We start from the raw sequence: 14,868 nt of genomic DNA on the forward strand, positions 1-14,868 counted from the left end.
GTCCATCAGAGTTCTCCTGAGGAGCATGTTAAAATGCATATGCCTCATTCTCTCCCTGAGAGATTGTGAGTTTGTAGGTCTACAGTGGGCCCCAGTATCTGTATTTGTAACTAGCACCTTCAGTGATTCTGATACGGTAATCTAGGACCACATCTTGAGAAGTGCCATGTTCCAAATTAAGAGATGAGGCCTCCCTCATTGCTCCATACCCAGGCATATTTTCCTGCTCATGTAATCCCAAATATCTTACAAACAGTAAATTTAAATTATTGATGTCAGCAGAAAGTAGCACAGACATAGCTAACCCAAAAGAGTAGTTTATCTTCCACAAAGTCAGGCTTCTTTTTTTTTAATGAGTTATGTGATTTTTTCTTAGATTCAAATCACCATCTTCTCATCTCCTTGCAATAAACTTTGCTTTAGGTAAGCCTGAGATAAGGCTAGGTCACTCATTTGCTTCCCATTTTTTGGACTTTTAAGATTTTACTCAGTGATCTAATTTTGTTTTGAAAAATAAACTAAAAAGTGCTTTTTAAAAAGAAACCTGACTTACACACACTTTATTTTTTTATATTTTTTTTATACTTTTAAGTTCTAGGATACAGGTGCACAACATGCAGGTTTGTTACATATGTATACATGTGCCATGTTGGTGTGCTGCACCCATTAACTCGTCATTTACATTAGGTATATCTCCTAATGCTATCCCTCCGCTCCCCGCCCACCACCAAAAGAAACTACCATCAGAGTGAACAGGCAACCTACAGAATGGGAGAAAATTTTTGCAATCTACTCAACTGACAAAGGGCTAATACCCAGAATCTACAAAGAACTCAAACAAATTTACAAGAAAAAAACAACCCCATCAAAAAGTGGGCACACACTTTAAATGTATATTATTTAGTTAACTTATAGGGGAGAGAATAGCTATCTACTTTACAAAAGAATTCTTTACATTACAGAAGAACTTGCTTCCATGAAGAAATACTGTAAGCACAAATCTGCCTAGTGTTTTCAGAGTTTCACTGAAGCATTCGACCTAGGCTCAATGTACATGGAAAACATTTTTCTTATAAAAGTGAGCCACACCTTTTAAACTGCCATGAATTTCACAAACAATCAACTCTTGGGAATGGGGAGAGAGGTGGGAGGCAGCCAGGCAGCCATGAAGCGTGCTAAGCTAAGTTTGGTATCGAAAGTTTTCCACCAGAACTGTGTGCCCAATATGGAATGTCATTGACTGTTCCCTCACATGTTAGCTGTTTTAGGAGATAGTTCTGCTGAGGGCTGAGGGTGGTATAAAGGCTTAAAAAGACTCAGACCTTATCAAAAAGACAAAAACAAACCCCAAAACTCTCAATCTAAAGAGAAAAAGGAGATGTGGTGCATAGGTTAATAAAGACCTGAGTCAGGGAGCCCGATAAGATATCATCTCCCCAGACCACTAGGATGGGAGGCAGAGGCTGTGATGTGTGCTTCGCCTGTCTTGCGGCTTGCCTTATCCATCTCTGTCTGGATGGAGTAAGTGCTCAGTTCTCAGCAAAGGACATATTGGAAATGACAGCCTCACTATTGTGAATATAATATGTCATGGCTGACAGATGAAGCGCATTGTAATGGGATATAGCTATCAGCCAAGGCTGGAGGAGGCCTTGTTCTCTGGACCTCTTAGAAAGCACTCCTTCTGGGTCCTCCCTGCCCCTTCTCTGCAGCCCAGCTGAGTGAAGATCTTAAAGCACCATTCCCCCCATTACTCCTGATCCTTTGTTGTGCTTCCCTTTTGTCCACCCTGCACTTTGATTGCTGAGCAGTCCCAGCAGGGCAGACTGCAGCTGAAATGGTAGGAACAATGGGATCAGGCAGTGGTCCAGAGAAGCACTAGGGACTGGGCATGCTTAACTGTATTACTCTCAGCTGGTCTGCCCTGGGCGTAAGTGAGCAGGCCCCACCTTTCAACTGCTAGGGTGAAATCCACCCTTCTGACAGTCTCATGGCCTTCTCCAAAGGCAGAGTTAATTGAAAAGTGAAACAATTAGGAGATGGGGAGAACTAACAGTAAAAATTGCATTGAAGGGGAGTTACCTTATAAGCTCCTTTCATCTCTAAGTATTTGGGAAGGATTTCTTGTTTAGCACGTAAGGCATTTCAGTGTTCCAGTTTCATTAGGAGCCATCATCAAATGACAGATTAGTAGTGTATTGTCTTTTGTGTGCAGCTGTATATTTTGCCATGGTAATAGGCACCTCATCCATTTATTTATTTAACAAGCACTTATCGAGAGCTTTCTGGGTGCTTGGCTTTGTAGTAGGCCTTAGGGATAAGATGATAAGTCTCTGACCTCAAAGTACTTATAGTCTAGGAAAAGGAGACAGAAAAGTACACAAATAAATGCCACCTAGCAGTATAAAGACTGTGATAGATGTCTTTATGGGAGGCAGTGGCAAATACAGGAGGTATACAGAGAATAAGAAATTAGGCTGAAGGCAGTGACCGTGTTTGCAGACATGTTGCAATACATAGATCATTGATCTCACTATTGACAAAATGAAATACCTGTCGTAAAATGTATGCTTCTTCATTCATTCAGTGGATGTTTATTGAGTGCCTACTGTGTGCCAGGTGCTCTGCCTAGTACTTCTGTGATGGTGTATACAAGCAAGAAGGGGAGACAGGCATTTAATTCAGTTAGCACACAAATCAAATGTAAAACTAAAACTATGGTATGTGCAACAAAGATAAGTTACATGGTTTCATGAAAACTTATAATGGGGGTATTTCTATAAGGTAGGGGTGTCTCCCTGGGATTGAGCTGAAGCCAGAACACGAAAAAAACATTAATTAGGGACTCTGTTAGGTACCAAGAGTAAGATAATGGAACAGCAGAGAAAAAAACGGTAGGAGTTAGGGCCCAAGATCCTGGCCTAGCGTCACCATGGAGCCTCTCTGTGGACTTTGGTGCCCAGAACTAGAAAAGTGATGGTGGTAGAGGTGGGAAAAAAAGAAGGCCACTGCAAGTCCTGTTTTACCCAGGTCCAAAAGAATCACACCGTTTGTCCCACTTTTTTTTTTTTTTTTTTTTTTTGAGACGGAGTTTCACTCTTATTGCCCAGGTGCCCAGGCTTGAGTGCAAGGGCACGATCTCGGCTCACCACAACCTCTACTTCCCGGGTTCAAGTGATTCTCCTGCCTCAGCCTCCCAAGTAGCTGGGATTACAGGCATGCACCACCAAGCCTGGCTAATTTTGTATTTTTAGTAGGGATGAGGTTTCTCCATGTTGGTCAGGCTGGTCTTGAACGCCCGACCTCAGGTGATCTGCCCGCCTCGGCCTCCCAAGTACTGGAACTACAGGCGTGAGCCACTACACCCAGCCATCCCACTGTTATTTTTAATAATCACCCCCACTAACCTTCAAGGTGCTCCAGTATGAGTAATCATACACTGATACCCTAAGGAGCAGAGAACTTAGCCTCCAAGAGCTCCTCTAGACCTGTGATCCTGTTAGTAAACACAGAGTGCCAGCTAATTTCCAAAGCATAAATAGAAACTAGCAATGCCCTGATTCATAAAAGATAAGTAAGTGGCACTTAATATTTTATGCCACGAATAAGATTTCTATGTTTTTGCTGAAAATGGAATAGCAGCCTATGTCCACAGCAGTAATGCCAGTAAACACCCTCAAGTGGTCGGATTAATTCTCTATATGTTGTTGATGGTGGTGTTTCTACTATAAGTTGCAAGATGAATTAAAAAATTAAATTGTTTTCTTAATTTTCTCCTGGGTATTTGCAGGCTTCACTTGAGGAAACTATCTCATGATGCTTACAAAATATTGTAAGTATAAACAGGATTTCACAAAATCAGAGAGGCAGGAAATAACCCTAGGGATTCCAGAAACTAGTGTGAAGGAAATCCTGGTTTCATGACTGCATTGAATTGTCCCTGTAATGCTTTATGCCATCTGTGTTTTGACTCTTAACAGGGGCTGTAAGACATGTTTTCCTATAAAGCATAAGTTCTATAGCTTCAATGAAAAATAGAGATAAAATGAGATATACAAAGATAGATGATAGATAGATAGATAGATAGATAGATAGATGATAGATAGATATTACCAGCTAAAATTTTCTAAATTCATGAAGCCAGTCATCATATACTTCCTGGAGTGGTTCTTTAATTTACTAATATTTTCTCTGTTTAACAGTTCTTAGGCTAATGCATCCTGTAAGTTTACTACTTTATGTATAAATTGGGCTTATAATAAACCTTAAGGAATACTACTTTGAACTAGTATCATGGCTTAAAATTCATCTGGAACAGTGAAAGCATATTTTTATTAAAAGTAGCTTTAATATCTCCAAACGATGTGTTCACTATCCATTCTCATTGTGGTTTTGTAGACACTGATTATGTTGTGCCTCCAGCAACATGTTCAGCTTTTTATTTTAGCTGGAGAGAGTCAGTCCTGAGAAAGATTCTGGAGACATTCCTTTAGAATCAATGTAGGGGAAACACAGTTGACAAAGTTTGGAGGAGTGATCTTGAATGACAACTATTTTTTTTTCCTGACACATTTGTCTAGTAGACTCAAGGTTGCTTTTGAGACTATCCAAGAGTTTCCTCAAGAAAGCAATAAGTACGTAATACGAAGTTTAAGGATTTCTTTGCATGCTAACCCCCAAACAGAGCAACATTCCTAGAGTCCACAAGGATTTGAAGGCTTAGGACAATTCTTGTGTGTTTCTTTTCTTCCATTTCTTCTCCGTGCCCTCGATTGGCCCACTTTTTCCCATGCAGGCTTCATACTTCTCTCCTTAATTCCTCAACCTGGGCTGTTTTTACTGGTTACAGTGGTTCCTGATGAGCTACTTGTACAGAGATGTTGAGCTCTAAGACAAAGTACAAGCTGAAATGAACTGGAACAGGAGGAAGCGAGGAAAGACATACATTCGAAGAGAAGCAGGGACAGAAATAAGAGACTGTTCGAGTTAGGTGAAAGAACACTGGGAGTCGGGAATTTCAGATTCTCTCCTGGGATTTGCCATCTTTGGCAGGACTCTCCATTGTTCAGGTCTCAGCTTCTTCACTTGTAAAATAGCATGTAAAAATGTAAAAAGGCACTGGGCTAAGTGACCTTTGTGTCCCCTCCCTCCTGTCTCTAAAGATTGCATTAAATCAAGGTAGGTCAAGATTCCTGTTATTTAGGGATAAAAGACAACAATTAAAATGTGCTTACTGATGTTCAAAACCAGTGCAATACATCTTTACTACTGCAATTGAGAAAACCTCTGTAAGACATTCTAAAATTAAAGGTGGCTGTTCATTTCGGTATTCATTTCCAACTTTCAGATCATTGAGACTTTTGATGTCAAATATTAAGTAGCTTCAACATGCTCATCTTTGTTTCTCTCTCTCTGTCTCTCTCCCTCTCCACTCCACCCACCCTTAGGCTTACGAGAGGCCCCAGAAACATTCAACTCTCCATTATGACACGGGCCTCCCACAGGACTTCACCGGTGACACCTTAAAACCAAAGCACCAGCAAAAAAGCAGCAGCCAGAACCACATGGACTGGTCCACCAACTCTGACAGCGGACCCGTCACTCAGAATTGCTTCATCAGTCCAGAGTCTGGCAGAGAAACTGCAAGCACCAGCAAGATCCCCGCTCTTGAGCCCGTGGCTTCCTTTGCAAAGGCCCAGGGTAAGAAAGGCAGTGCAGGGAACACGTGGAGTCAGTTGTCTAACAATAACAAAGATCTGCTCTTGGGAGGTGTGGCTCCATCCCCAAGCAGCCACAGCTCACCAGCCCCACCCAGCAGCTCTGCTGAGTGCAACGGGCTTCAGCCCTTGGTGGATCAAGATGGAGGAGGTACAAAGGAGCCCCCAGAACCACCTACGGTGGGCAGCAAGAAAAAGTCCAGTAAAAAAGATGTGATAAGTCAGACCATACCAAACCCAGACCTGGATTGGGTCAAGAATGCCCAGAAAGCATTTGACAATACAGAAGGGAAAAGGGAAGGTTATTCCGCAGATAGTGCCCAAGAGGCATCACCAGCCAGGCAGAACGTGAGTTCTGCCAGTAATCCTGAAAATGACTCAAGTCATGTCCGGATTACTATCCCCATCAAGGCACCCTCTCTGGATCCAACCAACCATAAGAGGAAAAAAAGACAGTCCATTAAAGCGGTGGTGGAAAAGATCATGCCAGAGAAAGCCTTGGCTTCTGGAATCACCATGAGCAGTGAAGTAGTTAACAGGATACTTTCCAACTCTGAGGGGAATAAGAAGGATCCCCGTGTCCCTAAGTTGAGTAAAATGATAGAGAATGAGTCCCCCTCAGTTGGCCTTGAAACTGGTGGAAATGCTGAGAAAGTTATCCCAGGAGGTGTGTCTAAGCCGCGGAAGCCACCCATGGTCATGACACCTCCAACGTGCACAGATCACTCTCCATCCAGAAAGCTGCCAGAAATCCAGCATCCAAAATTTGCTGCAAAACGAAGGTGGACTTGCAGCAAACCAAAACCTAGCACCATGCTTCGAGAGGCAGTTATGGCCACCTCTGATAAACTGATGCTGGAGCCCCCGTCTGCATATCCCATCACCCCATCCAGCCCTCTCTACACCAACACAGACAGTCTTACTGTGATCACTCCAGTCAAAAAGAAGCGGGGACGACCAAAGAAGCAGCCTTTGCTCACAGTCGAGACGATTCATGAGGGAACTTCCACCAGCCCCGTCAGTCCCATCAGCCGAGAGTTTCCTGGCACTAAGAAAAGAAAGCGACGACGCAATTTAGCGAAGTTGGCCCAGCTAGTGCCGGGAGAGGACAAACCCATGAGCGAGATGAAATTTCACAAGAAAGTTGGAAAGCTCGGCGTGTTGGATAAGAAGACCATCAAAACTATCAATAAGATGAAGACACTCAAGAGGAAAAACATCTTGAATCAGATCTTGTCCTGTTCCAGCAGCGTTGCTCTGAAGGCAAAAGCTCCCCCAGAGACCAGCCCTGGGGCAGCAGCCATTGAAAGCAAACTGGGCAAGCAGATTAATGTCAGCAAGAGGGGAACCATCTACATTGGCAAGAAGCGGGGCAGGAAGCCAAGAGCAGAGCTGCCACCCCCATCCGAAGAACCCAAAACAGCCATCAAGCACCCCAGGCCTGTTTCTAGCCAGCCGGATGTTCCAGCCGTGCCTTCCAACTTTCAGTCACTTGTGGCGTCTTCACCAGCAGCTATGCACCCACTTTCAACACAGTTAGGTGGGTCCAATGGCAACCTGAGCCCTGCCAGCACTGAAACCAATTTTTCAGAGTTGAAAACTATGCCAAATCTCCAGCCCATCAGTGCTCTTCCAACCAAAACCCAAAAGGGAATACACAGTGGAACCTGGAAGCTGTCTCCACCCAGACTGATGGCCAACTCCCCTTCACACCTGTGCGAGATTGGCTCCCTAAAGGAAATCACGCTGTCCCCTGTGAGCGAGTCCCACAGTGAGGAGACGATCCCCAGCGACAGCGGCATTGGGACAGACAACAACAGCACTTCTGACCAAGCGGAGAAGAGCTCAGAATCCCGAAGGAGGTACTCTTTTGATTTCTGCTCCCTGGACAACCCGGAGGCCATTCCGTCCGACACCAGCACAAAGAACCGGCATGGCCACCGGCAAAAGCATCTCATTGTGGACAACTTTCTGGCCCACGAAAGCCTCAAGAAGCCAAAGCACAAGAGGAAACGGAAAAGCCTGCAAAACCGCGATGACCTCCAGTTTCTGGCAGACCTGGAGGAGCTAATCACCAAGTTCCAAGTGTTCAGAATCTCCCACCGGAGTTACACCTTCTACCACGAGAATCCATATCCCAGCATTTTTCGGATTAATTTTGATCACTATTACCCGGTGCCATATATCCAGTATGACCCGTTGCTCTATCTTCGTAGGACTTCAGACTTGAAGTCAAAGAAGAAGCGTGGTAGGCCTGCAAAAACCAATGACACCATGACAAAGGTGCCTTTTTTACAAGGGTTCAGCTACCCTATTCCCAGTGGAAGTTACTATGCACCCTATGGAATGCCTTACACATCAATGCCTATGATGAACCTTGGTTATTACGGTCAGTACCCAGCTCCTTTGTACCTATCGCACACGCTTGGAGCAGCTTCCCCATTCATGAGGCCAACAGTGCCACCACCTCAGTTCCACACAAACTCCCACGTAAAGATGTCCGGTGCAGCTAAGCATAAAGCCAAGCATGGAGTACACCTGCAGGGACCTGTTAGCATGGGCCTTGGTGACATGCAGCCTTCTCTGAACCCTCCCAAGGTAGGCAGTGCCAGTCTGTCCAGTGGTCGGCTCCATAAGAGGAAACACAAACACAAGCATAAGCACAAGGAAGACCGGATCCTAGGGACCCATGACAACCTGAGTGGTCTTTTTGCAGGCAAAGCCACAGGCTTCTCCAGCCACATCCTGAGCGAGCGGCTGAGTAGCGCAGACAAAGAGCTCCCGCTGGTGAGTGAGAAGAACAAGCATAAGGAGAAACAGAAGCACCAGCACAGCGAAGCCGGCCACAAAGCTTCTAAGAACAACTTTGAGGTGGACACCCTGTCTACACTGTCACTTTCCGACGCCCAGCATTGGACACAGGCCAAGGAAAAAGGAGACTTGAGCAGTGAGCCTGTGGACTCATGCACGAAAAGATACTCTGGCAGTGGCGGGGATGGTGGCAGCACGAGATCAGAGAACCTGGACGTGTTCAGTGAAATGAACCCTTCGAATGACAAGTGGGACAGTGACGTGAGTGGGAGTAAAAGGAGGAGCTATGAAGGCTTTGGAACGTACAGGGAAAAGGACATCCAAGCCTTCAAGATGAACCGCAAGGAGAGAAGTTCTTATGACTCCTCCATGTCTCCAGGTAAGGCTGTTTTTCTTCAGAAATGGATTATCAAGTTATTTCATTGCTGGGCTTTGCACCTCAGACACATCTGTGGCACATTGTGTTCACTAGTTTGCAAAGAGGTGGGAATCAAATTAAAATGGGTCTCCTTGCACATTTGAGTTTGCTGCACATTTTGTACATTGTTTACTTGGTATTTACTATCTTCCTTCTCTCCTGGAGCCATTGTTTGAGAAACTGTGAAGCCATAACCCTAATAGCTGCCTAGGCTGCAGTCGTGCCCACTATGGTTATGCTTTTTATTAAAGATGCTGTTCTTAGGTCCTCATCTGATCTAATGGTACAGTTTGCTGTTTGGATACAGCCTCTAAAACTCATTAGGAATACTAATAAGATCCAAGAATGCCAAGCCTGGGAGGAAATGACTAGCTAATTTATCTGGCATGCCAGCTCCACAAGTCACACATCTAATGTGAGAAGTCTACTGCAGAGCCATTAGAAGCTGATGACCAGTGAATCCTGAAGTCTAACTCATCAGGTAGCCACAGCCTTGGGCCATATTGTTTCCATTTTTTTTCCATGGGCATTTGATAAGCTGTCCTGGGCAGGTCCCTAAAATGAAAACTTGACTACATTCAGATACTTGTCATTTTCGTGCACTAAGTGGAAGGAGGCAGGCTGGAAGGTGATATGTGCCTCCTGCTTCCAGCAGACCTTATAACTGTGTCTCTTTGCATGCCCACTAGAAAGGGATTTTGCTCACTAATTTAAACTGAAATGCTGGTTGCTACTAGAAGGATCCTATTCCTTGTCAGTTGCTGGCAGAATTCCCTTGCCAACCTCCCCAACCACACAAAATCCTTCCCTGCTGTTAGGGCCTCACATTTCTGCAAAAGTATCCCTTTGACCCTGGCCTTACATCATATATGATAAGACCCCTATAAAGACCAGAGAAGTTAGTTATTAGGAAAATAGTAGAAACTTCTTACCTAGGAGTTGCAGAAGCTAAAAAAAAAAAAAAAAAAAAAAAAACAGTTCTTGTGTTCCCCCTGTTCCCAAATAGTATAAAACCCTCCAGCCAAAGCCTGGCTTTAAAAACCAATCATCCATGTTTAAGGTTTGGTGTAGCATTTCACTTCTGTTTATGATGTGTACCACTCACCTGTCCTCTCCCTTCCCAGGGAGCCCATATTTCCTGAAGGCAAGAATAGTCTATTCATGAAGAATTAGAGACATTTTCTAGGCCAGCAGATTTCAGGAAGAAATATGATTATGAGGTAGAAACCACTTAAAGATCGCCCCAGATTGCCACTAGCCTGTGAGTTGTAGTGGTAGATGTTCTCCTTGGTTAATGAAGAAACCAATTAGCAGTCACATCTCCTGCATTTACTAAAGGTAATAAATGACCTACACTTTGTGTCTGCCCAAAGTGGATGTGCTCATCTGGGCTTCATCATTTCTCATCATCAGACTTTGTTGAAGGTGCTTGGTTTTATGCAGAGTGCAGGCTAAGCCCACCTGGGCAGGAGGTACTACCTTGACCTTGCATGACATGTGAGAAACTGATCTCTTTCAGCATGATGAAACTGATTCATGGGACTTACACTAGCTGTGGACAGAAGATGTTCTTATTTTTGTAATTTTATGAGCCTTATTTAGCTAGAAAATAATGGTGAGGGGTAATTGTTAAGAACCTACACGCAAAAATCCTAACTTAACAGACCCAAGGAGCAAGACCTCAAGAAGCTAAAACCAGACGTTGTTGCATGTTAGGTTTCTCAACGATTTTACGAGGATTTGTCTGTGGCCAGGCTGTGTTGCTGAGTGCTGGTTGACTTCATAAAATTTCCCAGCTGGGGTTCACGTCCAGTCACTGTGTGCCCCCACTCTAGTTATATTGCTTTTCATGTGCTTGCATTTATATCGCATTCATCACTTTATTAAAACTCCTCCTCATCCCTGTCCCATCTCATCTCATCTTCAGCCAGCCACTTGAGATGGGAAGAAATAGGTGTCATGACAATGTCATGAAAGAAAGCTGGATTCAACCCGAAGAACTGGATACAAGGCCCAACTCTGTTACTAATTCTCCGTGTGCCCTTAGGCATGGGATTCCACTTCTTTGGGGTACTGTCTGCCCATCTGTAACTCATGGGGTTGGGCCAGACCTCTTGTGTATAGTGTGCTTCCATTCTTAAAGCCATTTCACATAAATTTTTGTGTAACACCCTTTGTGCAATGTTATTAGACAGGTACTTTTATTCCTATATTACAGATCAGGATACTGAGGCTCAAAGAGATCAAGAGAACTGTCCAGGTTCAAAAAACCACTGGTTTTGATTCTAAGCCCAGAACTTTGCCTGCTGCACTGAACCTTGACTGCCTGCCTGCCACCAAGCTAGTGAAAGCTGTGTTTAGAACACAGCTCTTGGTGCCCAGTCCAGTGCTCCTCTATGTCACCTCTGCCCTTTCTTTCAGAATCCCATTCATCCTCAGATCACATACCCTTCCCTAAGGCATCTGCACAGTGATTGTGTGATGATTACAAAAGAGAATAGTTAAGGAAAGAAGACACTCGTTTATTCAATTCCTGACCAATGTAGAAGGAATCCTTGTGGCCTTACCTTTTCTGAATATCAGCCTGGAGACACCATGGACAGAGCTTCCACCTCTGTCCTTACTGAAATCCAGCACTCTGAGTTATTTTTGCCACTGCTTTGTTTCTATCTCTGTCCTCTATGAGGTTATTTTTTCCCAGAACTTTAATGAATCATAATTGTTGGTGGCTGCTACATCTATATGAGCTATGCCTGATGTTCCTGCATATCTTGTTAAGTTTCTTACTAAGACAGACCAGATTCCCCCTTATTCCCCTCCCTTCCAAGCCTTAGCCTCTCATTGCTTATATCTCGAATGTCTCCTTCATGGCTGTGCCCCCAAAGCATGAGAGAAAAATATCTTTAGCATCACATAGAATCCAGTGTCAGAGTTTGTCAAGACTCCCTGAAGAGCATTCACCTTAATGTGATAGACTCTGAAGAGTGCCAAGTTCCATGAAAAGACAGGAGGCAGATGAGATGAAGCTGAGCTTACTAGATGCATTAAGAGCTTTCAGTGACTTTATCTGAGTGGAGGTGTCTATTCAGCTGGATGGTTCTGAGGGTCATGATTGGAAATAAGCACCTGCACTTTCTACAACTTCTCTCCCTCCACCTTTTCCTTCATCACACTTGATTCATTTCCTTAGCATCCAAATGTCCTATTTCACATGAGCTATTCTTCTCTAAAATAGATACAGTATAAATATAGATGTCATCCTTTTTAGCCTGTTGAGGATGAGAATTAGAAGCAGAGTCAAGAGAAGGCTTTGAGTGCTCCCTGAGATCAGAGCTGATGAAAGATACCATCTAAACGTAAGTCATTACCATTATGGAGAGAGGAATTAGAGACCCTATTTAGCAATAGCAGCAGTTGCACACTCCATTTCCTTTTTCTTGCTTGGAAAATCTTTCATTCTTTCTCTCCCTGCCCAGCAGATGGTTGCATTGTCTTGTTAGCCCACTTCTAACATACCTAGGGCTAGGATGCAGTACAGACTTCTGACCATTTTTCTGTATTTTACGCCTCCTTTTTTTGGTTTCAGAATGCAGTAGCTCTTTTGGCCTGTTTTCTAAATGCATACCATCTGCTAAATGTCCGTTTATAAAAATGCTTGCCTGGGACCAGAAAATGGATAAATAGTGAGAAGGTGCAATCTCAGAATTGGTATAAGCCTTATCAGCTCCTATTTGGGCCTGTCTGTCGGCAGGCATTGCCTTCTCTTGCACACTAACATTTAGCAGAGGGCCAGAAGAGCAAATGCATACTCCAGGGGTGACAATGCATAGTCAGAATGATGCCATGTGCCCTCAAAGCCAAGTTTTCACAAGGTGGTGGAAGAGTGATGAGTGACATTTTCTATTCAGACCACTTGGAAACAATCTTTGCATACTTTGACCTAAACTTATGCCAGATACTGAGACCTCATGACAACTGCTGTTCAAGCTCCTATCAGATAATTAAAAAAAAAAAATGAGAAGAGTGAATCTACATGTGTTACCTCTTAGTTTAGTGCCATTGTTAAGAAGGTAGCCATCCCAAGTCCCCGAATGTTGAGTACTGTCCTCATGATGAGTGGATTCTGAGAACTGATTCTGAGAGCACATTTCAGATATCCAAATTCTGCCATGTAGGTAGCTGGATTCCCTGGCACCTGGCCCCCTCCACCTCTCCTTGTAGCTTCTTTCTTGCCCTTTGCCAACTCCTCTTATCAGCACTGTGGAAATTTGAGGAGGCAGTCTCTGCTGTCACTCACTGGCAGGATATGAATGCCCAAGCCAAAAATAATACAAAAACCTCCTCCAAGCAGTCACCCAGATGAGGGAATTAGCCACGTGGATGAAATGTCATGAAAACTATACAAAGGAAATGTTTCAGGATCATTTCCTTAAAATGGAATAAAAGGAAGAAGAGGACTAATGGGAGGAGAAAATTAAGACCAGGAATAAAGAGAGTAAAACCTGGGAAGCTGATGAAATATAATCTTTTTAACCTTATTCCAAGTCCAATTCTGAGTCCTCTTGTGGGAGGAAATGAAAGATTAATTAGCTAATGGCTGTTGTGGAGTTCAAGTAGGGTTAGGAAGACCTGTCCAAATCTTATCTCTCACACTAACCAGCTGAAAGACCTCTTCTGTTTTTTGACTTTCAGTTTTCCAAAATGGGACTATGACCATAAAGGTTCTGACCAGACCTAATAGTTGAAGATTCTAAAAGACTCAAATTTATACAATGGAATTTCAATATCTACACCACTCCCCTGCACACATGTACAGGCAGTAGTTACAAAGTAAATATCCAAGTTATTGACCATGTTGACCAAATAGTTAGTTGTTCAATGAAGTTTGAAAACAGGTACCACTGGTTGTATATTAATCTATGAGACTCATCCCATTCATCTTTAGCTCCAGCCATTTCACTTAGCCATTGGATTTCTCCTTTGCGAAAGGTAGAACTCCTAGTGCTTGAGTCCCACTGGCTGAAAACATAGTCACTATCTGAGACACAAATAGGTTAGAACACAAATATGAACATTTTTATGGGAACAGACAGGGCACACTTGGATTTGTATTTAGACTCAGCATTAAATAAATCTTAATAATGTAGTACAAACATCTCATTTTGCTGATGAGCACACTGAGGCTTAAGAAGGTCAAGTGACTCATCTAATGATACATATTTAATTGGGTGAAGAGCTCAGACTGGGAAGCTTCACATCAAGGAGAAGGGCAGGGAAAGGGAGAGAGAGAGTGAATACAAGAAAAAAACAGAAAGGTGAGTCATGGGAGAGATGTTAAGCTATATGTTTTCCTTTGCTGTGAGCTGTTGTAAAAGGTAAGCATCTCTTTGACAATCATTTGGTTTCCAGGCTATCTCTGGGGACCCATGTCTGGGACTGGAAATGATCTTTGTGGGCTCTGATGGAAGTCATTTTTTTTTCCTTTCCTGTCTTAACAATTGCACATACTTATTTTATTGAGCCTCCCAAGTTTCCTCCTAAGGTTTCCTTTTGGAAACCAAGAATTAATCAAATTAAATGATATAACCCATAACTTTGTAGCAACGTAACAAAAAAAAATAGCTGAGACTCACAGCATATCCTTTGCTACATTGAAATCAGAAATGGAGCAATTCTGCCTTTGGAGTTTGAAGTCCCCGAGCCATTTATCTTCCCACAGTTGGCAAATGTTCTCGTGTCCTGGTGAAAGTTTTTATTTTTACCTCTGTGGGATTGGGAAATTATGCAGATTCAGGTGTGGGTGCAGAGAAGTTACAATTTTGACAGACTTGGCTTTGCTATAATATGGATCCTTTCTTGGCTGGAGAAATCAGGAAGCATGCCTTTGGAAGGCTGTCACTGGGCAGAGATAAGCAAGGCACC

The 14,868-nt window shown here is 43.4% G+C and overlaps 1 protein-coding gene across 18 annotated transcripts in view; it reads left to right on the forward strand.

Moving 5' to 3' along the window:
- SETBP1 (SET binding protein 1) overlaps positions 1 to 14,868 on the forward strand; it is a 388,438-nt gene that overhangs the window by 264,361 nt on the left and 109,209 nt on the right. For all 18 annotated transcript variants that reach the window (XM_024451149.2, XM_024451156.2, NM_001379141.1 and 15 more), the window contains one exon: positions 5,448 to 8,907. In XM_024451149.2, coding sequence (XP_024306917.1) covers positions 5,448 to 8,907 — 3,460 coding nt within the window. The remainder of the gene's footprint in view (positions 1 to 5,447; positions 8,908 to 14,868) is intronic.

This window comes from Homo sapiens, chromosome 18 (genome assembly GCF_000001405.40).
Source record: "Homo sapiens chromosome 18, GRCh38.p14 Primary Assembly".
Lineage (NCBI taxonomy): Eukaryota > Metazoa > Chordata > Mammalia > Primates > Hominidae > Homo > Homo sapiens.